General features: G+C 53.0%; 2 protein-coding genes and 1 long non-coding RNA gene across 7 annotated transcripts in view, besides 2 other annotated features; 2 read left to right on the top strand and 1 right to left on the bottom strand.

The window, feature by feature from the left end:
- PYY (peptide YY) overlaps positions 1-7,112 on the top strand; it is a 51,713-nt gene extending 44,601 nt beyond the window's left edge. The window contains exons 3-7 of one of the 3 annotated variants that reach the window (NM_004160.6): positions 1,817-1,907; positions 5,870-5,995; positions 6,362-6,549; positions 6,656-6,736; positions 6,865-7,112. In NM_004160.6, coding sequence (NP_004151.4) covers positions 6,362-6,549; positions 6,656-6,736; positions 6,865-6,889 — 294 coding nt within the window. In that variant the 5' untranslated portion in view covers positions 1,817-1,907; positions 5,870-5,995 and the 3' untranslated portion in view covers positions 6,890-7,112. Of the gene's footprint in view, positions 1-1,816; positions 1,908-5,869; positions 5,996-6,361; positions 6,550-6,655 lie in introns of those variants that run through there. The other 2 variants (NM_001394028.1, NM_001394029.1) reach the window with 2 other exon arrangements.
- Positions 6,367-6,870: an enhancer, noted in NCBI's record as "H3K4me1 hESC enhancer chr17:42030343-42030846 (GRCh37/hg19 assembly coordinates)". NCBI's record gives its function as "activates a minimal SCP1, AML or CMV promoter by ChIP-STARR-seq in naive H9 embryonic stem cells {active_cell/tissue: H9 hESC(naive)}" and the evidence as "EXISTENCE:reporter gene assay evidence [ECO:0000049][PMID:30033119]".
- On the top strand, positions 15,630-19,041 carry PPY (pancreatic polypeptide). 3 transcript variants are annotated; one of them, XM_011524978.4, is made up of 4 exons: positions 15,630-15,834; positions 18,191-18,381; positions 18,631-18,702; positions 18,893-19,041. In XM_011524978.4, exons 1-4 carry the CDS (start codon positions 15,808-15,810, stop codon positions 18,915-18,917), a joined length of 315 nt encoding a protein of 104 aa, XP_011523280.1. In that variant the 5' UTR covers positions 15,630-15,807; the 3' UTR covers positions 18,918-19,041. The 3 variants fall into 3 exon arrangements, with proteins under 3 accessions (XP_011523280.1, NP_002713.1, NP_001306138.1); NM_002722.5 differs by lacking the exon at positions 15,630-15,834 and adding an exon at positions 17,369-17,424; NM_001319209.2 differs by lacking the exon at positions 15,630-15,834 and adding an exon at positions 17,571-17,658.
- Positions 19,042-20,882: 1,841 nt separating this feature from the next.
- On the bottom strand, positions 20,883-21,584 carry LINC01976 (long intergenic non-protein coding RNA 1976). The gene is made up of 2 exons (NR_136406.1): positions 21,448-21,584; positions 20,883-21,284 (listed from the first exon to the last, which is right to left on the bottom strand). It is a non-coding gene; the product is annotated as a long intergenic non-protein coding RNA 1976 (long non-coding RNA).
- Positions 21,298-21,798: an enhancer, noted in NCBI's record as "H3K4me1 hESC enhancer chr17:42015415-42015915 (GRCh37/hg19 assembly coordinates)". NCBI's record gives its function as "activates a minimal SCP1, AML or CMV promoter by ChIP-STARR-seq in naive H9 embryonic stem cells {active_cell/tissue: H9 hESC(naive)}" and the evidence as "EXISTENCE:reporter gene assay evidence [ECO:0000049][PMID:30033119]".

Here is a 24,535-nt window from a genome sequence, read left to right as displayed (position 1 = left end):
TTGGGCCCTTAAAAAAGTTTTGGATTCAAACAGGAGCATTCATGTGGAGGGGATGTGCGCAGAACTCACAGGGGCTGGCGCCCAGGGACCCTCACAGTATCTAATTTCAGGCTTCGCAACACACACCAGCATTTTATTTTTATTTTTATTTTTTTTCTTTTTTGAGACGTAGTCTCGCTCTGTCACCCAGGCTGGAGCGCTGTGGAGCGATCTTGGCTCATTACAATCTCCGCCTCCCAGGTTCAAGTGATTCTCCTGCCTCAGTCTCGCAAGTAGCTGGGATTATAGGCATGCATCACCATACCCAGCTAATTTTTGTATTTTTAGTACAGACAGGGTTTCGACATGGCCAGGCTGGTCTCAAACTCCTGGCTTCAGGTGATCCGCCCGCCTTGGTCTCCCAAAGTGTGGGGATTACAGGCATGAGCCACTGCACCCAGCCTATTTTTATTGGTTTTTAAAAATTCTTTGGTTGTTATTTAAGCCATTAAATAGAAATACCCTTTAAACATTCAAACTATATTGGAAATATATAAAGTACTAGAGAAGCCCTTGTTTTGATATAAACAGGTCTGAGTCATTGACCAGTGTTTTGAAAAAGTCAGCTTAAATGGGCAATCATAAAGACACATACAGGTCTTAGTCACTTTGTTTTGATTTCAAACACAAAATTCACATTGAGGCACGAATTTTTCTTTGGGTGTCTTGACTCAAATTACCCTTTGACTTTCTTGCATAAATCACACCCACAATCCTATAATTTGTCACCTGTTATTTCCAGTTTCTTTAAACTTAAAGACACTTGTGAAGCAATCTGATGTAGCACACTTCTAGATTTTTAGGATTTTCCCTTAATGGTTTATCTTTCACATCTAATTCAACATGTCAGCAAATCTCTTTGTGTATTACTTCCAAAGCATTTAACGTAGTTTGCAAGGAAACAATTCTTTATGCACTCATATTTCATCAGTTTATATAATATTTAATTCAATTATATGATTACAATGACAAATACACCTGGCATAAACAGGCTAGGGACACATCCAACCAAAAGGCAACTCAACCCAGAGGTAGCTGAATTCTTGCTTTTCTAGACCAGGGGTCAGCAAACTACGGCCCTGTGGGCCTGTTTTTGTACATTCTATGGGTTAAAATGCCTTTTAGGGGCCGGGTGTGGTGGCTCACACTCGTAATCCCAGCACTTTGGGAGGCCAAGGCAGGCGGATCACTTGAGGCTGGGAGTTCGAGACCAGCCTGGCCAACATGGTGAAACCCCATCTCTACTAAAAATACAAAAATTAGCCAGGCGTGGTGGCATGTGCCTGTAATTCCAGCTACTTGGGAGGTTGAGGCAGGAGAATCTCTTGAAGGAAGGCAGAGGTTGCAGTGAGCTGAGATCATGCTGCTGCACTCCAGCCTGGGTGACACAGTAAGACTCCGTCTCAAAAAAAAAAAAAATGCCTTTTAGGTCAGGCACAGTGACTCACACCTATAATCTCAGCATTTTGGGTGGCTGAGGCCGAAGGATCCCTTGAGCTCAATAATAATAAAAAGAATGGCTTTTAAAGTGGTTGAATCTGTAAACAGTTGAAATAAACTAAAAAAATTTTATGACATGAAAATTATATAAAATTCAAACTTTAATGTCTGTAAGTAAAGATTTACTGAAGCACTACCATGCCCATTCTTTTTTTTTTTTTTTTTTTTTTGGTGTATTCAGTGGCTGCTTTCAAGCTACGGTGGATGAACCTAACGGTGTCAACAGAAACTCTATGGACCACAAAGCCTAAAATATTTACTATCTGCTCCTTTACAGAGTTTGCCTACCTCTGTCCTAGAGCGAAGCCTGAGCCTTGGGCGCGCAGCACACCACAAGTATCTGTTACTGTGTTTTGCAGAAGCTTCAGGTAAGAGGGAGAGCTCCTAGGAGAGCTCCTACCATAAAAAGTGAAAATCCCTTACTTCTTGGCATCGCTGTTTCCTAAACCCACCCCCTGCTCTTCTCAAGGTAGCTTCATGGTTTGCTTCCTCACTTCCTTCCTGGGCTCAAGTGAGCGATCCTCCAACGTGGTCTCCCAGCGCACTGGGAAAGACATGAGCCACTACACCCGGCTCTGATTTTTCTCTATAGCACTTATCAGACATATTCCATGCTTATTTATTTATTTATGTATTTATTCATTTATTTGAGACAGATTCTCACTCTGTCACCAAGGCTGGAGTGCAGTGGCACCATCTCGGCTCACTGCAACCTCTGCCTCCTGGATTCAAGTGATTCTCATGCCATAGCCTCCTAAGTAGCTGGATTACAGGCGCCCGCCACTGCGCTTGGCTAATTTTTGTAGTTTTAGTAGAGACGGGGTTTCACCATGTTGACCAGGCTGGTCTTGAACTCCTGGCCTCAGATGATCCACCTGCCTTGGCCTCCCAAAGTGCTGGGATTACAGGCGTGAGCCACCGCACCCAGCCTCCATGCTTATTTATTTATTTTCTATTTCCTGTCACTAGAATGTGAGCTCTATAAGGGCAAGGATTTTGCCTGTTTGTTCACTACTCTATCCCAGTGCCTAGATCAGTGCCTGGCACACAGCAGGGACTTAAGTGCTTGTTGAATGAGGATTGAATTACTTTTTTTTTTTTTTTTTTTTGGAGACAGTTTCACTCTGTCGCTCAGGCTGGAGTACAGTGGCGCGATCTTGGCTCACTGCAACCTCTGCCTCCTGGATTCAAGCAATTTTCCTGCTTCAGCCTCCAGAGTAGCTGGGACTACAGGCATGCGCCACGACGCTTGGCTAATTTTTGTATTTGTAGTACAGATGGGGTTTCACCATGTTGGCCAGGCTGGTCTTGAACTCCTGACCTCGTGATCCACTCACCTTGGCCTCCCAAAGTGCTGGGATTACAGGCGTGAGCACCACGCCTGGCCTGAATTACACTTGCTGTATGACAACCTGCTATCTCTAGGACCCTGGGCATGAGGAAATGCCTGAGGGTGGAAAGCAGTGGAGCAGTGCCACACAGTGCATGGTGATCAAAGTGAGGCCTTGTGTGTGGGGAGTGGGTACAGGCAGGTGGGTGATGGGGTACAGAATTCTAAGCCTCTGGGGATGAATGGCAGAGGCCACACCATCTTGATGAGTGGCCCTTGAGCCCACTGGACAAGGAGAATTGTTGGCTGGGGTCCAGGTCCATGGTCTCCCTGACTTGGGGTGGCCTTGCCAGGTGCTCTCAGAATGGGGACCATTCTGATTCTGTCCCCTCCCCTTTGATTCTGTCCCCCACCCTTCAAGGACAAACCGGAGGCAGGTCCTGGTCTCACTTCTACAAAAACAATTGTTTCTGAAGTTTCCCCCCTCACACCCTAGACATGTCTCATGGCCACTGAGTCATGCAGCAATGATGGGTGTGGGTGTGTGGATCGGGGGGTGGCTGAGCCCATTGATCGAGGGCTGAGACATTTTCCCCGCTAATCAACAAGTTAATAAGCTCTTCGATGAGGAGGCGGTGATTAATGAACCAATCAGCTTGCCCTGTAATTGGGGAGTGAGATTGGAGGGTGGGGGTATGAGGGATAGAGAGGGTTTGCGGGGATGTGCGGCTGGCTCCTGGTCCACACTGAGACCACCTAGGGGCCCATTTACTTTGGCTATAAATGAGGAAGTGACTTCTTCAGAGGTTGTAGCCCGAATTCAGGCCACCCCATGCCCTCTAGCTTCTACAGTGTCTCTCCTCTCTTCCCATCTGTCCTTGGACTCCACATTCCCCAAGACATGACAGGGTTCCAGGGATGTCAGATTCCCCATGGCCATCTCACAGTTTCCTTCGTCTCTGTCCAGAATCGGTGCACTAGAAATCCCCTACCAGCACCATGGTTAGTGCCGCCGCAGGGTCAGAAGAGCAAATAGCCCCCTACTCTCTGGTATCCTTGCCCCCGTTAGCCTGCAGGGTCCTTCTCTAGGCCCTGATCCCTGGGATCACAGATGTCCTAACCAGCCCCCACTGCTCCCTCCATCCTAGGGTGAGCACCTGTCTTTTGTCTTTCCATGGAGGAATGGAATTATTTGATTTCTGCTGTCTCCCCTCCAAACAGGACAAAGGCTGTCTCTGTCTCTCTGTATCTGTTCTGGGAACCGCTCATACTGGGGCTCCCCTATGACATGGCCATATCTCTCCTTTGAGACTGGGGTTCTTGAAGGGCAGGGGTGTGTCTTGCCCCCTGGATGAGGGCTCCCTAAGAAGAATGATTTTTCTCCTCCCTCCAAGGGCAGGATCTATGTCCCCTTGTCCTGGTGTCCTCTTCCACCCCCATGCTCAGCAGGGCACCCTGGTGTTTCCTGGGATGTGGAGTCCCATGGGGCCTGACTGGCTGATAAGGAGCCATTTCCGGAGAATGCAGGTGATTGAACCCATAAAATGGTGACAGAGAGCCCTGAACTCCCCATCTCAGGAGAGCTCTAAAAATAGCGCCCACAGCCATCTGTCCTGGGGCTGGAGGGGCTGGCTCAGAACCAAGGGCCTGGACAAGTTGGCCCCATCAGTCCCTATGGGCCGATGGGACATCTGGAAGTACTGGAGGTCTGGCGAGGCCAGGGAGAGGAAGCTGGAAGGGCTTTATGGGGAGACCTTCCCACAGCCCTTTCTCCTCCTGGGCAGGTGGGTTTGAGGGGGTTGGCAGTCTGAAGGTCCTTCCCCTACTCCGCCTCTCAGAGTGGGTGTGGGCCCTAGACTTAGTCTTCGGGTCCCTGCTCCCAGGCCTGCCTCTGGCGCCCCAATGGCTACTCCAGGTGCTGAGCCTTTCTGCCCCTCACAATTGAGAGGTCCTCTTCCTGGGTTCTGCCTCACCCTGCTTTTCCTGTTTGAATTGTGGGTGAGCTTGGCTGCTCCATCACCTCCCAGGGCTTCAGTTTCCTCATCTGGAAAATGGAGATAAACTCAGCTCATCGTCTTGTGATGCCCGAAATTATGCACTACCTAGTGCATAGTAGGTGCTTAATAAACACGAGTCCTTTCCTTCAAAGGATCTGGGCTTAGAGCCCAGTGGAGACTGCCATGGGCTGGGGACAGTGGCATGTGCCTGGGAAGCCTTGGCATCACTCAGGCCCAGAAGACACCAGTGCTCTGAATGACACCTGCATAGGGGTGGAGACACTCTGCCTTGGGAGGGGGCTCTATACCACACATGGCTGGACTGGGGTCTGTGTGTGCCAGTCTGGATACACAGGTGGCCGACTCAGCTGCTTCTGGCGGGGAGATTGGTTTCTGCCTCCTCCTGCCTCTTTTCCAACTCTTTAATAGAGAGAGGACATAATGGAGTGTTCAGAGAGGCCTCTCCCCAAGACACCATAAACTGCAGGTCAGGAGCCAAGGTCAGGTGCTCCCACCCTGCCTCCAGGAGAAAGACTTTCCCCAAAAGGTCCTGTCATTCCTCAGCCCTTCTCCAAGGTATTACTGAACAGAGGCTGAAAAGGGTTGTCTTTTGGAAAGAGTGGTCACACATCCCACGGACTGGAGGGAATGTGTCCACCCTCCCACCCCCAACTCCCATCCACGGACAGGCTAGGGAAGACAGAATCTCAACCCTGGTCCTAGGGGCTGCCCCAGGAGTCTAGATCCAACCGCTTCACTTCCTCAGGAGGCTAGACCTGCCACTGGGGGGCTGTGGGGTGAACATGGGGTTCAGGCTGGGTACCCCATCCAGTGAGACCACGAATCTGAGCATGGCAACTGCCCCCTCAGCTCCTGCGAGGTGGAGACATCACGCACTGGCTGGGTATAAGCTCAGCGATCTGGCGAGGGTGGAAGGAGGGAGGAAGAAGGGCCCACCCCCTGCTGGCTCCCCCTCCCCCTGGGACTCCCCCTCCCTTTCCAGGCGGGGATATAAGCCCCACAAGGAAAGCGCTGAGCAGAGGAGGCCTCAGCTTGACCTGCGGCAGTGCAGCCCTTGGGACTTCCCTCGCCTTCCACCTCCTGCTCGTCTGCTTCACAAGCTATCGCTGTGAGTGGCTGGGGGCTCAAGCCTGGGGAAACCCAGGCTGTTTTGTGGGGAAACTGAGGCTGGGATGGTGGAAGCTGGGGGTGAGTGGTAGGAAACTGGATTGGAGGGGGCCATCGGAGGTGGGAAGGAGGCCAGCAGCGGGGGTGGGGGTGGGGAGGCAGGCAGGGCTTATGCTCCTCTGACATGAGGAAACTGAGTCAGGAGACGGTGCAGTGCCCAAGAACACACAGCAAGCCCGGTGGCTGAGCCTTGGTCCGGTACCAGCCCCAGGGAGAGCGTCGGAGCGCGGCCCCGACGGCAGCCGCAGCCTCCCGCCGTGTAGGGTCGAGGCTTGGAATGACCCACGTCCCAATGTCGCCTTCCCAGATGGTGTTCGTGCGCAGGCCGTGGCCCGCCTTGACCACAGTGCTTCTGGCCCTGCTCGTCTGCCTAGGGGCGCTGGTCGACGCCTACCCCATCAAACCCGAGGCTCCCCGCGAAGACGCCTCGCCGGAGGAGCTGAACCGCTACTACGCCTCCCTGCGCCACTACCTCAACCTGGTCACCCGGCAGCGGTGAGCGCAGGCGCGGAGCGGGACCCCTGGGGCTCTCACCCTGCGGCCCCGCTCCACCTGGGGGCGTGGCCAGATCTGACCACGCTCTTCCCTTCCCCGCCCCCAGGTATGGGAAAAGAGACGGCCCGGACACGCTTCTTTCCAAAACGTTCTTCCCCGACGGCGAGGACCGCCCCGTCAGGTCGCGGTAAAAGCGCCCGTTACCACACATCCTGCATCCGAGAGCGCGGCCTGGCCCTACCCTGGCAACATCACTTAACGACGTCTCCCAGGCTCGCCTCCCCAGATCCAATTCCTTCCCCTTCGCTTCCGCAGGTCGGAGGGCCCAGACCTGTGGTGAGGACCCCTGAGGCCTCCTGGGAGATCTGCCAACCACGCCCACGTCATTTGCATACGCACTCCCGACCCCAGAAACCCGGATTCTGCCTCCCGACGGCGGCGTCTGGGCAGGGTTCGGGTGCGGCCCTCCGCCCGCGTCTCGGTGCCCCCGCCCCCTGGGCTGGAGGGCTGTGTGTGGTCCTTCCCTGGTCCCAAAATAAAGAGCAAATTCCACAGAAACGGAATGTATGCCTTTGTATTTCCTTTCCTTTCTCCTTCGTGGAGGTGGCATCCCGTAGAAGTGGAGGGTGGAGGCGTGGGGGCCAGGGAAGAGAAAACCGACTTGGACAGAGGCGCCCCAGGACAAGGCTGGGGCGGGCTGCGGAGTTCCCTCTGCTCGGAGCCCAGGGAAGACTCGACCACCCAGCCTGGAGCTGGACAGCGCCCAGGCCAGGAACTGCTGTGGAAGGAACTCTGGTCGAGTGGGGGCAGGAGTGGATGGAACTCTGGAAGAAGGGGCGGGGAGCGGCGACAGGAGCCTGCTAGGCAGCCTAGGAGAGCAGATGGGGTCAGGGCTGTCCCTCCCCCACCCCGTGAAGCCGAAGACGGCTGGGGGACGAGTCGGGCACCAACACCCCGGGGCGTTTCCCCAGGAGCTGTAGTACTAGCGCCCAGGGCTGGAGTGGCTGGAGGTGAAGTGTAATCCAAAATGGGGCTGTGGAGGAAGAGCCGTGTGGGGGTGAGATGGCTGTACGTGTGCTGGCCGGAGAGGCAGGCCATTTCTACCGTCCCCCTTTCCCTGAGTAGAGGAGCAATGGGAGTGTGGAGGCTGCCCTATCCCTAAGAAACCTCCCTCCCCAATCTCGCTGAATTCACACGCAGTGGATAAGTCACGAACTGTTCTTTCTTAGTGACAAGGCCATAGGGACACCCTCCATGTACCCCCCTCCCCTGGACTAGCTACTGAAGCCTAAAGGCTCTGTGGATGTTTAAACTGGAATCCAACTCGAATCCCTCACCACTCTGTACCTATTCCAGAGCCTGCCTGCAGACTGATCTCCCCTGACATCCACCCTTCCCTGCCCCTTTCCTCCAAGAAGCTTGCCTTGATTGCCCAATTGCACTCTTCCTGCCCTCTCTAACTGCCCAGCTCTCAGGGCCTCTGCTCTGTTCACTGAGAGTTCTATGTCTCTGTGTCCTGTCTCCCTCCTGGGGCCTCAAGAAGGAAGGGCCTATGTCTCCTTCCTGGGACACAGCCTCCTGTATCTGTGGGCTCTCTTCTGGGACTCCAGTTCAGCAAGACCTGCCCAAATCTGAAGCAGGGCACTAGGAGATGAGGGGGGAAATCAGGTTGACTTCAAAACCTGTGACCCAGAGAGGGGAAAAACGACAGGAAGGCTGGGGGCATCCTTGCAGCGGATCAGGGGTTTTTTTGTTTTGTTTTTTGTTTTAGAGATGGAGTTTTTGCTTTTGTCGCCCAGGCTGGAGTGCAGTGGTGCGATCTTGACTCACTCCAACCTCCACCTCCTGGGTCCAAGTGATTCTCCTGCCTCAGCCTCCCGAGTAGCTGGGACTACAGGTTCTCACCACCACACCTAGCTAATTGTTGTATTTTTGGTAGAGACGGGGTTTCACCGTGTTGGCCAGGATGGTCTCAATCTCCTGACCTCGTGATCTGCCTGCTTCGGCCTCCCAAAGTGCTGGGATTACAGGCGTGAGCCACCGCGCCTGGGCTGGATCAGGGTTTTTAAGGAGTATTTGCAGTTCAATGGTTCTGGAAGGAGAGAAGACTCTAAAGCTGACTCTGCCATAGCTGCAGAGAAGTTCCCTGCTTGGACACAGGTCCCTTGGGGGCCACAGGGCTCTGACACCCACCCTCCCCTGTGCTGCCCTCCAGCCTCCCTGGAGGTAGAGCTGAAAGGATGAGGCAGAGGAGGCAGGTGGAGGTCACTGGCTATGTGGATTCTGATGCTCTGCGCCTTTGCCCAGGCCACTTTACCTCCTTGCAGAGCCCTTTCCCTCTCTTAAGCCTGGAAGATACTCTCAGGATAGTGGTCACCTCCTCCTGGAAGCCTTGCCTGATTTCTTGGGGATGGAGTTAGTTTCTTTGACTCCCTCTCCCCACTCATTATCTTAGACCCACTTTCCATCCTATTTTGCCTCCTGTCTTCTCTCCTGCAACAGGACAGGTGGGACGAGAGCACACAGTGGCTGCCCTGAGCTTTGGTTCATTGTGTGGGTGGGGAGTGGGAGGATGTGTCTGTGTGTTGGTGTCCATGATCCCCTGTCTATTGGTCTGCCTGGGAGAGCTATAGTCAGTTTAAGGCGGATGGAAGAGAGACCTGGTATGAGTTAGGCATGACCACAGACAATTTCTGCCCAGCTTGACATGTCTCATTGACCATCAGTGACATGGGTCCACCTCATGTTCATTTTGAGGAGTGTTGAGCAGTTTAGGGTAATAACATTATTAATAATTATTATTAGTATAATAATAATGACAATAGCAATAATTATTTTTTCCAAAAAGCACTTATTTATGTGCGAGACACTGAGCTGTTTGTTTTACATATATCATATTACTAGGATATTGATTTGGCTTAAAAAAAAAACAGGTGGAATTAACAGTGGCTTAAACAAGATGGAAATTTATTTCTCTTGCATGAAATGTGAGTGGCACGTGGGGAGTTGGCAGTTGTGCTCCATGAGGGCATCCAAGAGCCCAGGCTCCTCGTTTGTGGCTTCCCCATGCCCTCATCTATGTCATTTACAGGACTGAAGACAGCCCACCATGGCCTCATCTGTGTTCCGGCCAGTGGCAAGGGAGGGAAGGGGAAGGTAAGCACTCTGGTTACTATGTTGTATAATAAGTTACCCTAAAACTTGGCAGCTTCAAGCAACCATTGTACATCACTCAGGATTTTGTGGGTCAGGATCAGGAAGTGCTCCCCCTGGCAGTTCTTGCTTTGAGTCTCACATGCGGATACTATCAGAGGTTGGCAGGGTTGTGGTTAAGGATCCACTGGGCTGATGCCTGAGAAGGCTCATTCGCATGCTAGTGCTGGCTGTTGAGTTCAGCCGGGGCTGTTGACCATTGTACCTACATGTGGCCTCCCCAGTCTGATATTCTTGGGGTAGTTGGACTTAAATGGTAACTGGTCTCCTGCTTGGAGTATTTAAAGAGAATCAGATGAAGATGGCATTGCTGGTTAGTTTGCTAGGGCTGCCATAACAAAGAATCACAGACTGGGTGGTTTAAACAACAGTTCCTGTGGCTAGCAGTCTGAAATGAAGGAGTTGGCAGGTTGATTCCTTCTGATCTGTTCCAGGCCTCTCTCCTTGCCTTGAAGATGGGTGTCTGAGCTGTGCCTCTTCACATCATCTTCCCTCTTTGCATGGCTGTTTCTGTGTCTAAATTTCCCCTTTTCAAAGGCGAACAGTCCTATAGGATTAGGGGTTCACACACTGTAGTATGACCTCATCATTTTTTTTTTTTTTTTGAGATGGAGTCTCGCTCTGTCGCCCAGGCTGGAGTGCAGTGGCATGATCTAGGCTCACGACAACCTCCGCCTCGCGGGTTCAAGCGATTCTCCTGCCTCAGGCTCTGGAGTAGCTGAGACTACAGGCACGCGCCACCACACCCGGCTAATTTTTGTATTTTTAGTACAGATGGGGTTTCACTATGTTGGCCAGGGTGATCTCAAACTCCTGACCTTGTGATCCACCCGCCTTGGCCTCCCAAAGTGCTGGGATTTCAGGCGTGAGCCACCGCGCCTGGCAACCTCATTTTAACTAATTACATCTGCAAAGACCCCATTTCTAAATAAGGTCACACTCTGAAGTACTGGGAGTTAGGACTTATGAATTAGAACATATGAATTTCAGGGGGGGCACAATTTAACTCATGACAATCATTTTTGTGACCCAGCCTCAGGAGATAAGGCATCATATCCCATATTCTGTTGGTCAAAGCAGTCACAAGTGCATTCACATTCAAGAAGAGGGGACACAGACCCCACTGTAGAATTACACATGAGATAGGAGATTTTTTTTGTCATCTTTGAAAAATATAATCTGCCATAGGCAGGCACATCCATTCCTAAAAACGGAATGGCAAAAATCACTTTAACTCTCAGCCCATTGGCTAAAGCCTGGTCTCATGGCCCCACTTAGTTGCAAAGACAACCTATGAGATGTGTTTAGCTGAGTGGCTGTGTGCTCATCTTAAGCTCTTTGTTTTTAAAATTTTTTTAAATTTATAAATGGATTTTTTTTTTTTTTGAGACAGAGTTTTGCTCTTGTTGCCCAGGCTGGAGTGTAATGGCACAATCTCGGCTCACTGCAACCTCCCCCTCCTGGGTTCAAGTGATTCTCCTGCCTCAGCCTCCCGAGGAGGCTGGATTACAGGCGCACACCACCACGGCCCAGCTAATTTTGTATTTTTAGTAGAGACAGGATTTCACCGTGTTGGGCAGGCTGGTCTTGAACTCCTGACCTCAGGTGATCCACCCGCTTCGGCCTCCCAAAGTGCTGGAATTACAGGTGTGAGCCACCGCTCCCAGCCAGATTATCTTTTTATTATATAACAAACCTACATATGTACCATCTCAAAGTCTTTGATGATGAAAGGAGAATGTGGATATTTGGGCACCTAACGTTATCTGCTAGGAACGTGATGTCCTTTGAATATCATCTAGAAATCATCTGGGCCTATCTCTTCATTGAAGCAATGAGAATCCCAAGGCGGACAGGGAGAGAGGCTTGCAGGAGGCCATAGAGTGAGGGGCAGAGGTAAGATATCTCACCCTGAAGCAGTTCTGATTCTACTAAACGTGAAATCTAAACTCTCTGCCAGAAACTCAGGCTTTTCATAACACCCCTTCCTCCTTTGGTGGCATTTCCTGCAGTTTCTCAGTGTGCGCCCCTAAAGTGCTCAGTCCCACTGCCACAGAGCCCTGCTTCTGTGAAACAGCATTTCCCCTGCCCCCAGCCTTCAATGCCACTTCAGGCCTCATTTCCTCCAGGAATCTTCCTGCCCTGCCCTCTCTGTTTACCTCCCCAACACTGTTTTTTTTTTTTGACACGGAGTCTTGCTCTTGTCACCCAGGCTGGAGTGCAATGGTGCCATCTCGGCTCACTGCAACATCTGCCTCCCAGGTTCAAGCAATTCTCCTGCCTCAGTCTCCCAAGTAGCTGGGATTACAGGCACCTACCACCATGCCCGGCTAATTTTTTGTATTTTCAGTACAGATGGGGTTTCATCACGTTGGCCAGGCTGTTCTCAAACTGTATTATGTAGCTTGGTTTAGTTTCTATTTCAGCAAGAAAGAAGGCTTCCTCTTTGAGAAAAATTTGGAGCGGCAATGATAGGATTTGCTGTTGCAGACACTGGAGACAGGAAGGGAGAAATACTGAACTCTCCCCTGCGTGTCTTCAGGAGGCCCTGGAGGCAGATGGAGTTCCCAGGGCAGAGAGAAGTGGAGGCAGAGCCCAGGCTCCAAATTAGTGGAGTGAGCCCCCACTGGGTCCTGAGTTGGCTCAGAGTGGGTGAGACAAGGGGCCCAAGGTATGTGTGTACATGTCACAGCTATCCCCAGCCCAAGGGTTTCTCCAGGGCATAGGTCCTGGCATCTGGGGGCAGCTACCCCCCAATCTATCCCTTCCTCTGCTGCTGCCATTTAATTTTGGAATAAGACATTGGCCTAAGAGCTGGGCCAGGCTCTGGCCAGTGGCGGGTTGGGATTGGGGGGTCTGCAAACAGGGATGAAGCCAGGCTGGAACCACGTGGACCTGGGTTTAGTCTTGACCCTTCCTGACTCCCATGTAACCTTAGACAGCCTCAGCTACCTCACTGGGCCTTGGTTTTCTCATCTGATAAGGGTGAAGAGTAATTCCTGCCTCCCTCACAAAGTAGCAAAGAGGCATTTGTAAGATGATCTGTGAGTAAGGTTCTGAAGCGCAGGGCTAGGTGAGGGACGGCTGCCAGCTTGCTGCAGGACCACAGCCAGTTTCTTCCCCTTTCTGAACTTTCGTGTCCTCACTTTCAAAAAAAGCCATCCTGGCCAGGTGCAACGGCTCACAGCTATAATCCCAGCACTTTAGGAGGCTGAGGTGTGTAGATGCTTGAGCCCATCTCTCCAAGAAATAAAAAAAAAAAATAGCAGGCCATGGTGGCACACACTTTTGGTCCCAGCTCCTTGGGAAGCTGAGATGGCAGGATCCCTTGAGCCCATGAAACATCGCTGTAGTGAGCAATGATCATGCCACTGCACTCCAGCCTGGGTGACAGAGTGAGAGCCCGTCTAAAAAAAAAAAAAAAAAAAAAAAAAAGCAAGCCATTCCCCGGCTCCTCACGTAGCTTTGACCTCTTTGTAGAACCCTTGCTTCTTCATCACCTCCCGCTGCCCCCATGAGGCCCAGAACAGATGTGCAATGAATGACCACTCATTGGTTGATTAACTGAAGGCAGCAGGGATTGTGGTTAGACAGCCAGGATGCGGGGGTGGGGCGGGGGAGTGTGTGTGATGGAGGACTTGGTGCAGGCCAAGCTGCTGCCCTGGGGTCACGTATGTGGGGGCCCCCATTCCCTTTGCTCCTTTACCTGCCTTCATTCACTCTGTGACCTCAGGTGTTCCTGGGGTGTTCCTCTCCTAGTCTCATAGCACTTACTCCATCCCCATCACTGCCAGTGGCCATCCACCTTGTGCCAGAGGGCGTGGTGTTGGGCAGGGGAAGAGGTACCACTATCATCTTCATTTAGTGGGTCTGCAGGCCAGGAACTGGTGCTTTCTTTAAGCAGGGCTCTGTGGCAAGCACTGTGGGAATGTTACTGAAAACAGGTCCTGACCCAGACCCCAAAAGAGGGTTCTTGGGGCTCATGCAAGAAAGAATTCAGGGTGATTCCGCAGAGTAGAGTGAAAGTAAGTTTATTAGATAAGTAAGGAAACAAGGGCCAGGTGCGGTAGCTCATGCCTGTAATCTCAGCATTTTGGGAGGCCAAGGCAGGAGGATTGTTTGAGCTTGGGCAAAAAAGTGAGCCTCCATCGCTACAAAATCAATCAATAAATAAAAGCCTATGGCTACTCCATAGGCAGAGCAGCCCCCAGGGCTGCCGTTTGGCTATTTTTATGGTTATGTCTTGATCATATACTAATAAACAAGGGGTGGATTATTCATGAGTTTTCCAGAAAAGGGGTGGGGATTTCCCAGAACTGAGGGTTCCTCCTCCTTTTAGACCATGGAGGGTAACTTCCAGATGTTGCCATGGCATTTGTAAACTGTCTGATGCTGGTGGGAGCATCTCTTAGCATGCTAATGCATTATAATTAGTGTATAATGATCAGCGAGGCCAGGCACGGTGACTCATGCCTGTAATCCCAGCACTTTGGGAAGCCGATGGGGGCAGATCATTTGAGGTCAGGAGTTTGAGACCAGCCTTGCCAACATGGTGAAACCTCATCTCTGCTGAAAAAGAAAAAAAGAAAAATCAGTGAGGGCAATCAGCGGTCATGCTCATCACCCTCTTGGTTTTTGCGTGTTCTTACCAGCTTCTTTATCTCATTCTATCAGCAGGGTCTTGTGACCCGTATCTTGTGCCGGCCTCCTATCTTGTCCTGTGACTAAAAATGTCTAACCTCCTGGGAATGCAGCCCAGCAGGTTGCAGCCTCATTTTACCCAGCCCTTGTTCAAGATGGAGTCGCTGTGGTTCAAACGCCTCTGACAGGAACACATCAAGATGAGTGAGAACCATTGCTGTGTTCTAGACATAGTGATGTAGTTAGGCTTTGCATCCCCACCAAATCTCATCTTGAATTGTAATCCCCGTAGTCCTCATGCGAAGGGAGAGACCAGGTGGAGGTCATTGAATCATGGGGGCAGTTTTCCCCATGCTGTTCTCGTGATAGTGAGTGAGTCATCACGAGAGCTGATGATTTTATAAGTTGCTCTTCTCCCCTTTGATCAGCACTTCTCCTTCCTGCCGCCTTGTGAGAAAGGTGCCTTGTTTCCCCTACGCCTTCCACCATGATTTTAAGTTTCCTGAGGCCTCCCCAGCCATGCTGAACTGTGAGTCAATTAAACCTCTTTCCTTTATAAATGACCCAATTTCAGGTAGTTCTTTTTGTTTTTTGTGTGTTTTTTGAGATGGTGTCTCACTCTGTTACAGCCCAGGCTGGAGTGTAGCGGCACGATCTCGGTTCACTGCAACCTCTGCCTCCCTGGTTCAAGTGATTCTCCTGCCTCAGCCTCCCAAGTAGCTGGGATTACAGGCATGCGCTACCACGCCCGGCTAATTTTTGTATTTTTAGTAGTGATGGGGTTTCACCATGTTGGCCAGGCTGGTCTTGAACTCCTGACCTCAGGTGATCCGCCTGCCTCAGCCTCCCAAAGTGCTGGGATTACAGGCGTGAGCCACTGCGCCTGGCCTCGGGCAGTTCTTTTCAAAGCAGTATGAGAAGGAACTAATACACATGGCCATGCAGTGTAGAAAGCACATCTACTACCACTTCCTCCTGGATTGTCACCACATCCCTGAGAGGACCCAGAAGAGGAATCTGTTGTTTGCAAAGGAGAAAAATGAAAGCTACGGTTTGGTTGACATTTGTGGAGTGCCTGTTATTTCTTAGGCACTTAGGTTTACCTCTGCGACAGGATAGAACTGTAAGTGGCCCTGGCATCTGAGTCAATCCCTAGATCCATTGTCTGTTGGGTGGGGCTGGGTCCCCACATGAGTAGCAGCCAGAACAGGTCCCTCCAAGGCCATGGTCCTGTGGGAGCTCAGATCCTTTTAACTAGGGTTGGAGCCTGGCGCCCTCTGGCGGCGAGCTGCAACCTCTACCCGCCAAACCCAAGGCCAGGCTGAGACCAGCCACCAATTCACACCCTTGTTTTGCAAGTGGAAAACCTCAGTCCAGAGAAAGGCCCGGGCTTGCTGAGACAGAATGACTTTCGTATTTGCTTTGTGGAATGTAAGTTGTCTGGTGAAGCATTATTGCTCTTCTTGTTAACCAAAATCAAAATTGAGAGGGTCAAGGCAGAACACTGATGTTTGCTGAGCCTTCCTTTATTCTCCCTATCTTCAGATGGGTGTGATGAGCCTATTTTACTGAGAGGAAAAGTGAAGCTCAGAGAGGCTAAAGAAATTACTTTCCCAGGCTCACAGAGCCAGCCAATGCAGAGCCAGGATTTGGACCCAGGTCTGTCTGACTCTAAGCCCACCCTGCCAGATCCCTGGAGTTTCACCTCCAGTCCCCTCTTCCCCAACAGTCCCCCCCATCTCCCAACTTCTTGGTATACTGATCTGGGACAGCAGAACGTCAGCAGTCATAAGTCCTTAGCTCCGTACTTGGTGTCACCGTGTCATTCAGACACAGCCAGTTACCACTCCTTGGCCTAAGCAGGGGAGGGAGACTGGGGGTTGGGAAGAGACGCTGGGCAGGGGAGACTCAGGGGCTTCTGGTGGGGATGGATTAGTGGGGTTGAGAATCTAAGCCAGAATTCGGAACCTCGGTAGCTATGAGATCTTGAGCAAGCGTCTTTACCTCTGTGAGCCTCAGGTTTCTCAGCCAAAAAGTGGGAAATTATAACAATACTTTGACGGCCCCACTTAGGAAAAAAAACAGTCCAGGTTTGGAGTTAAATTTTGGGGTCTGACTGGCTGTGGGGTTTGGGGCCAGTGATTTGACATCTCTGAGCAGATTTCAGATCCTGAATCTGTAAAATGGGTTGTTGTGGGGATTTAGTGAGGTGACTGAGCTGGCAGCACTTTGGAAAATGTGAGGCTTTACAAATGAAGCTGGTTTTTAGCACTTCCCTGGAATGGGGGCTCTGAGATGGGGAGGGAAATGGATACTGGAAACCGGCACCCCCCTCAACATTTCCCCTGAACCCAGGCACATGAGTTCTCATTCTGCATCCTATGCACCCACCAAATGGGTTTCTCCAAGCCTGGCACCCCACTCCTTTCCACCTTGCCTGAGGACCTGAGGCCCCTTCCCTCTTCCCACCTTGTTCTAGTTGCAAGCTGCAGAGGATGGCCTGAGTTTCCATTCTTCAGCCTGGAGGCTCTGGCTGTAGCCTCAGTCTTCCAGCTGCAGCCTCAATCTTCTGCCCCAAGAGAATCCGTTGGATGATTTGGGTTGATCTTTGGGAGGCAGGAGAGCTAGTTCCAAGGCCTGTGACCAAAACCTTTCAGTCACTCTCGAGTCCCAGAACCCCATCTTTCTTGAACCAAGCCTGCTCTGGTGCCCAAAGGGAAGGGGTGTCAGTGATGGGGGCCCACAGGAGACTTTTACTGTGGTCCAGTTTTATCTGTTATGCTGCTGGTCTGGCACCCACAGAACTGCCCTGTCCCCCTCCCGTCTCTGGCCTCAGTACTGGCGTTGCCAGTATGAGGAGACAGTGAGAGGAGGGGTGAGGGCTTCGGAGTGAGAGAGGCTGACAGGAGGCGGGGACTCTGGGGGGCTGAGGACTATAAAGCGGCCCAGCCGAGGGCAGGGGCCCATCCGGCCTGAGGCAGGTGCTCGCTTGGTCTAGTGCCCATTTACTCTGGACTCCGGGTAAGTGGGCTCAGCCTGCCTGGGGCTCTGGGGGCCTCCCCCAGGCTGGGGCCTGGGATGGAGAGGAGGTGGTGCTTTGCAGGGCCAGGGGCCTTGGGAGGCCTAAGGTCCTGCTTGGGTCTTGCTTTCTGCATCTGGACAGACCTGTCACGCTAGAAGAGCCGTCTGCTGACTGCACGTGTGTGTGCACACTCGTGTGCATGGCTGTGAACTGGAATGTGTGACTGTGACCTTGTGAGTGACTGGGGTCCCTGTGTGAGTGCCTTTGCTGGTCTGTGCAGGACGACATGGACAGTAGCGTCTTCTCCAGGACCGATATCTGTGTCTCTATCGCAGGGTGGAGGGCCAGACCCACAAGGCCATGGATTTCTGTCCTTGGCTTCCCGAGTTCATTCTGTGTCCCCCACCCTGTGGGTGACCTGGCATGCCCTTATTCCCACTAGCTGCTGCCTCCTGGGAGCCATGAGGCCCTGGATGTCATGAGTCCCGTGTCTCCAGGACTCACATCCCCATTTTCTCTGCTATACTTTTCTAACTTGCGAGGCCCTGGCTTGCTGGGCTGCTCACAGGACAGGCTGTCCGTGCCTTCAGAGCAGTGTCTAGGAGGTGGAGTGGCCAGCTTGGAGTGGCCCTTTGCTCTGCCCCCTTGTCCCCAGGCTTGGAGAAATGGATGATGGGCTAAGGGGCTGGATAGTTGGGCCCTGCTTCCTGGGCACGGGAAAATCTGCAGCCCGGGCTCTCCACCTCCCCTCTGCTTGCTCCTCAGATGGCTGCCGCACGCCTCTGCCTCTCCCTGCTGCTCCTGTCCACCTGCGTGGCTCTGTTACTACAGCCACTGCTGGGTGCCCAGGGAGCCCCACTGGAGCCAGTGTACCCAGGGGACAATGCCACACCAGAGCAGATGGCCCAGTATGCAGCTGATCTCCGTAGATACATCAACATGCTGACCAGGCCTAGGTGTGTGCCACAGTTGGGGAGAGAGATCCCAGCCCCTGGGACCCTGGGCCCACTCCACATTCCTGGCCACACCCTATCCCCAGCCCCAGCCCCAGCCCCTTCCAGGCCTGCTCTTGGGAAAACAGGGCATCTGTGCTCAACAGGCCTAGACCAATGTGCCCTGGGCAAGATGGTGCCTACAGGCAGATATGAAACAGGTGGGCTGGCACCTGGGCACAGTGCTTGCCCCTGCTGCCTCTTCCCTCCCAGGTATGGGAAAAGACACAAAGAGGACACGCTGGCCTTCTCGGAGTGGGGGTCCCCGCATGCTGCTGTCCCCAGGTGAGTTTGACTCCCTGCCCTGTCTGTCCAGCTCCCTGGAGCTGAAATGGGGGTGGTGGGACTGAATCAGGGCTTGGAAAGGTGTAGTGGGGGGTGGAAGAGGGAGAACAGGAGCCCAGGGCCAGCCTGAGGCCTCCTGAGGGCACGAGGCCTACCCCCTACACTGCCATGTTCTGCCCTGTCCTCACAGGGAGCTCAGCCCGCTGGACTTATAATGCCACCTTCTGTCTCCTACGACTCCATGAGCAGCGCCAGCCCAGCTCTCCCCTCTGCACCCTTGGCTCTGGCCAAAGCTTGCTCCCTGCTCCCACACAGGCTCAATAAAGCAAGTCAAAGCCACAGCCTGTCCTGTGTCTCTGTGGACCCCTGGTGGGGGCAGCAGGAAGTGCCAAATGCATGGGAGAGAAAGGGGAGGGCAGGGCAGGGCAGAGGAAAAGGGGATCATCCAGAACGTTGGCGGGGGTCATCAGAGTCACTCAACTCATCCTCTCCCCTTCGCAGAGGGAAAAGTGGTGGCCAGAGGAAGGCAGGGACTCCTCTGAGCAGATGGTCCTTCAGCAAGTCTGTGAAGTGGCAGTCTTGAATCTTCCCAGTTCAGTACCCATAGACCTTCCCGACACAGCCTGATGACAACCCTTCCCCAAGTGCACCCCTCACCAGTGCCTTACTGCAGCCTAGGCAGCAGAAGCACCAAAATTTATACGAAAGCACCCTTGGCATGGGGGCAGGGGCACAGCCCAGCCTGGAAGAACGATTCTGGTGCTATGGCAGTCATGGCTGCATCCAGGGGCCTGAGCTGCCGTCCAGAAATTTGGAGAGAATGGGCTGCCCTGAGAGGTAGTGAAGTCCTGGGCACAGGAGGTATTCAAGCTGCTGTGGAAGGGGAGGAGGCTAGATTAGCTGAGAGTTCCAGCCACCATGAGTTGAATCTGTAGATTGTACACTCCAGCCCTGGGAGGACAAGGACCTGGATCCTGCCCCAGGGAGGACTTCCCAGATTCCCAGAGAACCCATCTTTTCCTGGCCCTTCTCAGGCACCCTGAATAGGTGGGGACAGTGCGCGTGTGCATGCGTGTGTACGCGCATGTGTAAAGGGGAGAAGTGAGGGAACTAGAATGTTTCTGGTTCCTAGAAAGGCTTCTCCTGCCTCCCCCACATGCTTGGTCTCAAGGGATGGGGTTATGGGTTTGGAGGATGAGGGGTCCACTTTCCTGGGCTCAGCACCTTGCACAGAAATGGAAATGACACACAATTGTGTTTCCCCTCAAGTCCTACTCCATCTGGTGTGTGCAAATGACCTGGAAGTAGAAACAGGTCCTAAAAGGCAAAGAGCTTCTAGAGGATGCAGCTGCTTGGCTCAGATTGATTTTTTGTTTGTTTTTGGAGACAGGATCTTGCTCTGTCACCCAGGCTGGAGTACAGTGGCATGATCACAGCTCACCATAGCTTTGACCTCCTGGGCTCAAGCGATCCTCCTGCCTCAGCCTCCCAAACAGCTGGAACTACAGGCACATGCCACCACACCCAGCAAATTTTTTTATTTTTTAGAGACAGGGTCTTGCTATGTTGCCCAGCATGGTCTTAAACTCCTGGGCTCCAGCGATCTGCTCACCTCGGCCTCCCAAAATGCTGGGATTACAGGTGTGAGCCACTGTGCCCAGCCTCAGGTTGATTCTTAAATCCAAAGATGTCTGGATAGAGAGATGGTTTCGCAAAAGAACGGTTTGAGTCTGGGAGAGGGAGCCTGAAGTCCCAGCATTTTCTCTGGCAGCTTAAGGGGATGCGCGGTGAATGGGGAGAGGAGTCTGGGCTGTTTGGTAGAAACTTGAGCCAGGTGGGAGTTGGGGTGTGTCTAGCTGAAGCCCCTTCTTTGAGGTTTCTTCTCTCACCTCTGCTCTCCCTCTGGGTTAGAGCCCCCCACACTGGTGCTGTCTGTGCAGGACTACAGGGGCAATAAGTGTCTTCTCCAGGACCCGTATCTGTGTCTCTACCACGGGGTGGAGGGCCAGACCCACAAGGCCATGTGTGGGTGGAGTGGGGGAAGGTGGATGGGTTGCCAGGGGAGGCAGGGGAGGACCCCCAACAGCTGAGGTCTTTTTCTCTCACAGCAGAAACTACAGGGTCCCACTTCCCGTTCCATGGACTGGTCCCTCCCTGCCCGCAGGCCCACAGAAGTCACTGAAGCAACAAAAATTTGTCTTTATTGTTTTCACTGAGGGGATGAGGAGGGGTCGAGGCCCCTCTCAATACAAAGGGGTTGGTGGGCAGAGAGGCGTCTGGAGGCCAAGGCCCAGCCTGGAGAAAGAAGCCCCCCCCACAGGGGTGCTGTGTCTCCCCGCATGCCCGCCCCCAGGAACTTCCTCTCGCTAGCACCCAAGCTGCCCCCAGCCCCGAGGCCCCTGGCTCGGTGCCCAGCATCCAGGCTGTCCTACCTGGGGCCCCGGGAGGAGGTCGGTGGTCGGGGTTCCGAGGTGTTCAGCCACTGGGGGTTCGTGGTGGTCCATGGTGGGGGTTTCGTGGCTTTTGATGGGGAGGTGTCCGTGGCGTTCGCAGTTTTCTTGTGGTTTTTAGATTTCTTCGGGCTGGGAACAAGTCTTTGCAGTCATGAGGCCGCTCCCCGAGCCCAGCTCAGGCCGCGATGTGCGTGGGGGTGCCTGGTGGCGTCCGTGTCCCCCCCCCGCGCCCCCCCCACCCCCCGCTTTCCTCCCTCCCTCCCTCCCTTCCTCACACCCTCCGCCGGCCCACCTGCTGTTGAAGAGCTTCCCCAAGTACTTCTTGATGGAGCCTAAGTTCAGCCAACTGGCGGCCCTGGGCTGCGGCACTTGCAGCTCCTCGCCGAGGGCGCCCTCGGGCTGCATCAGCAGCGACACGAGGCCCGCTATGGCCAGAGCGAATGCGCAGCGCAGAGCAGGCGTCTGGAGGGGGCGGGGCAGACAGAGCCGCGGGAGGTCACGTGATGCCGGGGCTGTGGTCAGCGCGGCACCCGGACCGGAGCTTGCAGGTGTTCCGCGCGGTGGGCAGGCTGGGGTGCAGGGGCGCTCAGACCGAGGGTCGTGTCTATTTCTGGGACACACACCAGAGCACGGACGCCTTAAGGGACATCCTGGTGCTCGGAGGAATGGTACACACCTGGACATGCCCGGTGATGCAGGCAGAGCATCGAGGCGCGGTGGCTCACGCCTGTAATCCCAGCACTTTGGGAAGCCGAGGCGGGCGGATAACCTGAGGTCAGGCGTTCAAGATCAGCCTGGCCAACATGGCGAAACCCCGTCTCTACTAAAAATACAAAAATTAGCCGGGCGTGGTGGTGGGCGCCTGTAATCCCAGCTACTCTGGGGGCTGAGGCAGGATAATTGCTGGAACCCGGGAGGTGGAGGTTTTAGTGAGCCGAGATTGCGCCACTGTACTCCACCCTGCCCAACAGAGCCAGACTTCGTCTCAAAAAAAGAAAAAAAAAAAAAAGAAAAAGAAAAAAAAAAAAAAAAAAACGAACGAGGAGACACACCCTAAGGTGGACGCATGAGGACGGCATAAAGCCATTGGTCAGCTCCCTAACCTCACTGCCCTCTCTCCCGCAAACTCCTTGCTTATCCCCCTCCTTTCTCCCTGCTGTTCCCGCAAAATGACGGTCACTCTGTTCTCTGCCTGGAAGACTCTTCCTCCAGACATCCTCATGGCCAGCTCTGTCTCCCCTTGTAAGCATTAGCTCAAAATCCACCTTTTAAATGGATCCTACCCTGACACCCCTATTTATAATTGCAACCTGGCCGGGCGCGGTGGCTCACGCCTGTAATCCCAGCACTTTGGGAGGCCGAGGTGGGAGGACTGCTTGAGCCCATGAGTTCAAGACTAGCTTGGGCAAAAGACAGAGAGCCCCGTCTCTACGATTTAAAAAAATAAATAAATAAAATAATATTGCAACCAAACCCCTCATCTTGCTCTTTTTCTTGCTCTATTTTTGCCCTATTTTTTCTTTTCTTTCTTTTTATTTTATTTTATTGTTTTAAGGCAAGGCCTTCTTTTGCCTTCCAGGCTGGAATGTAGTGTCGGGATCATAGCTCACTACAGCCTCAAACTCCTGGGCTCAGGCCATCCTTTTGCTTCAGCCTCCCAAGTAGCTAGGTCTACAGGTGCATACAATCATGCCCAACTAAATTTTAATTTTTTGTAGAGATGGAGTCTTGCTATGTAGCCCAGGCTGGTCTCAAACTCCTGGCCTCATGAGATCCTCCCGCCTCACCTCCCAAAGTTCTGAGATTACAGGTATGAGCCGCCACACCTGGCCTGCACTTTCTAACTTACTATATTCTATACTTATATTTGTTGTCTGAGTCCCTTCCCAGCGGCATATCCTCCCTCAATGTAAGCATCATTAATTACAGCTGGGCTCTTCGCCTATTTTGTCTATTGATGGATCACAAGCACCTAGAATGGTGCCTGGCACTTAGCAGATACTCAGTAATACATATTAAATGAATGACTAACAGTTACACACAGGAAAGCCAGCCTGAGGATTCACACACCCAATGCACAGAGAATTTTGTGCCTGCAACACACAATGATTCACAGACTATGATGCCCGTAAACATGATGCACACTCCCAGAGCTCCTAGGCCCCTCAACCCTCTTTTAACCAGGAACTCTCCTCATCCCCACCACCCCAAGCAGGAATAAGAAGCCCTAGTAGCTATCCTGGCCATCAGAATGGCAGACGAGGCTGCCCTGGCCTAACTCCTTCATGCCCTTAGTGGGCCTGAGGAGGGGCCCTTGGTGCCAGCCCCCATCCCCAAGCTCTTAGAGAATACAGCTGATGGGGGCCCAGACTTGGCCACCAGACATCACCATGGTGCTGGGCAGGTGCAGAGGAGCTCAGCAGAGTGTCTCTGGCCAGGACCTGAGGCCCTTTATATTCCTAAGCATCCCTGCCCCCTTTCCCTCTGAGGCTCCACTCCCAGCATAGCCTTCTTTTCCTCCCTGTGTCGTGACCTGAAAGTCCGGAACGGAGAGAAGGTGGGGGTGGAAGCACATGGGCTACCAGCTGTTCTGACCAGGTCACAGTCCCTGCCGGGGGCCCAGAAGTGTGGGTAGCAGAGGCAGGGAGGCGTGGGGTGTCGGGTAACTTTTTGCTCCAAGTACACAGATCCTAGGGAGAAACTGGCTCTGGGCTTGAGAGGGGGCTGTGCTTTTCCCAGGGGTTACTGTCAGGGTTTGGAAGGGGGTTATGCTGAGACCAGATGCCCCTCCCCATCTGGCTAGATCCAAGGTGCCTCTGCCTCCTTCTCCTGCAGGGTTACTTTGGGATCCCAGCACCCCTATTCCCTCCCCCTAGGCCCGCTGCCATGGGGAGGGGGTGGAGTTGCAGTTTCTGGTTTCAGGATTGCAGGCCCCGCTGCACAACCTGGAGATTTTCTCAGCCTGCCTGGCCATTTTGGAGCCCCTGAGGCATGACCTGCTGAGCCTTCTGGAGGGTGGTGGGTCTTGGCTGCTTGGATGATGGACTTAGGCCTTGGCTGCCTCAGGCCACAGAGCCTCAGCTGTGTGGCCTGTCAGGTCCCCTCTACCTCCTCAATATTGCTGCTTTTATGGGGCAAGGTTGTAAAATGTGCACCAATTCTTCATGCCCACACCAACCCCAGAAGGGGCACAGTAGGAAGAGCAGGGGCTTCTGGGTAGGAATCCTGACTTCACTCCCTCCTGGCTGTGTGACCTTGATTAGGGGACATTATCTCCCCTGAGCCTCCACATCCTCATCTGTGAAATGGAGCTGGTTAAATCCTGGCATAGGACTGTCGTGAAGATGGAGTTGGGTGATGTAACTCAGCCTCTGGGCAGC

This window comes from Homo sapiens, chromosome 17, assembly GCF_000001405.40.
Source record: "Homo sapiens chromosome 17, GRCh38.p14 Primary Assembly".
NCBI classification, from domain to species: Eukaryota; Metazoa; Chordata; class Mammalia; order Primates; family Hominidae; genus Homo; species Homo sapiens.
The sequence above is the reverse complement of the archived record's forward strand: the minus strand, read 5'-3'. Positions and strand labels throughout refer to the sequence as shown.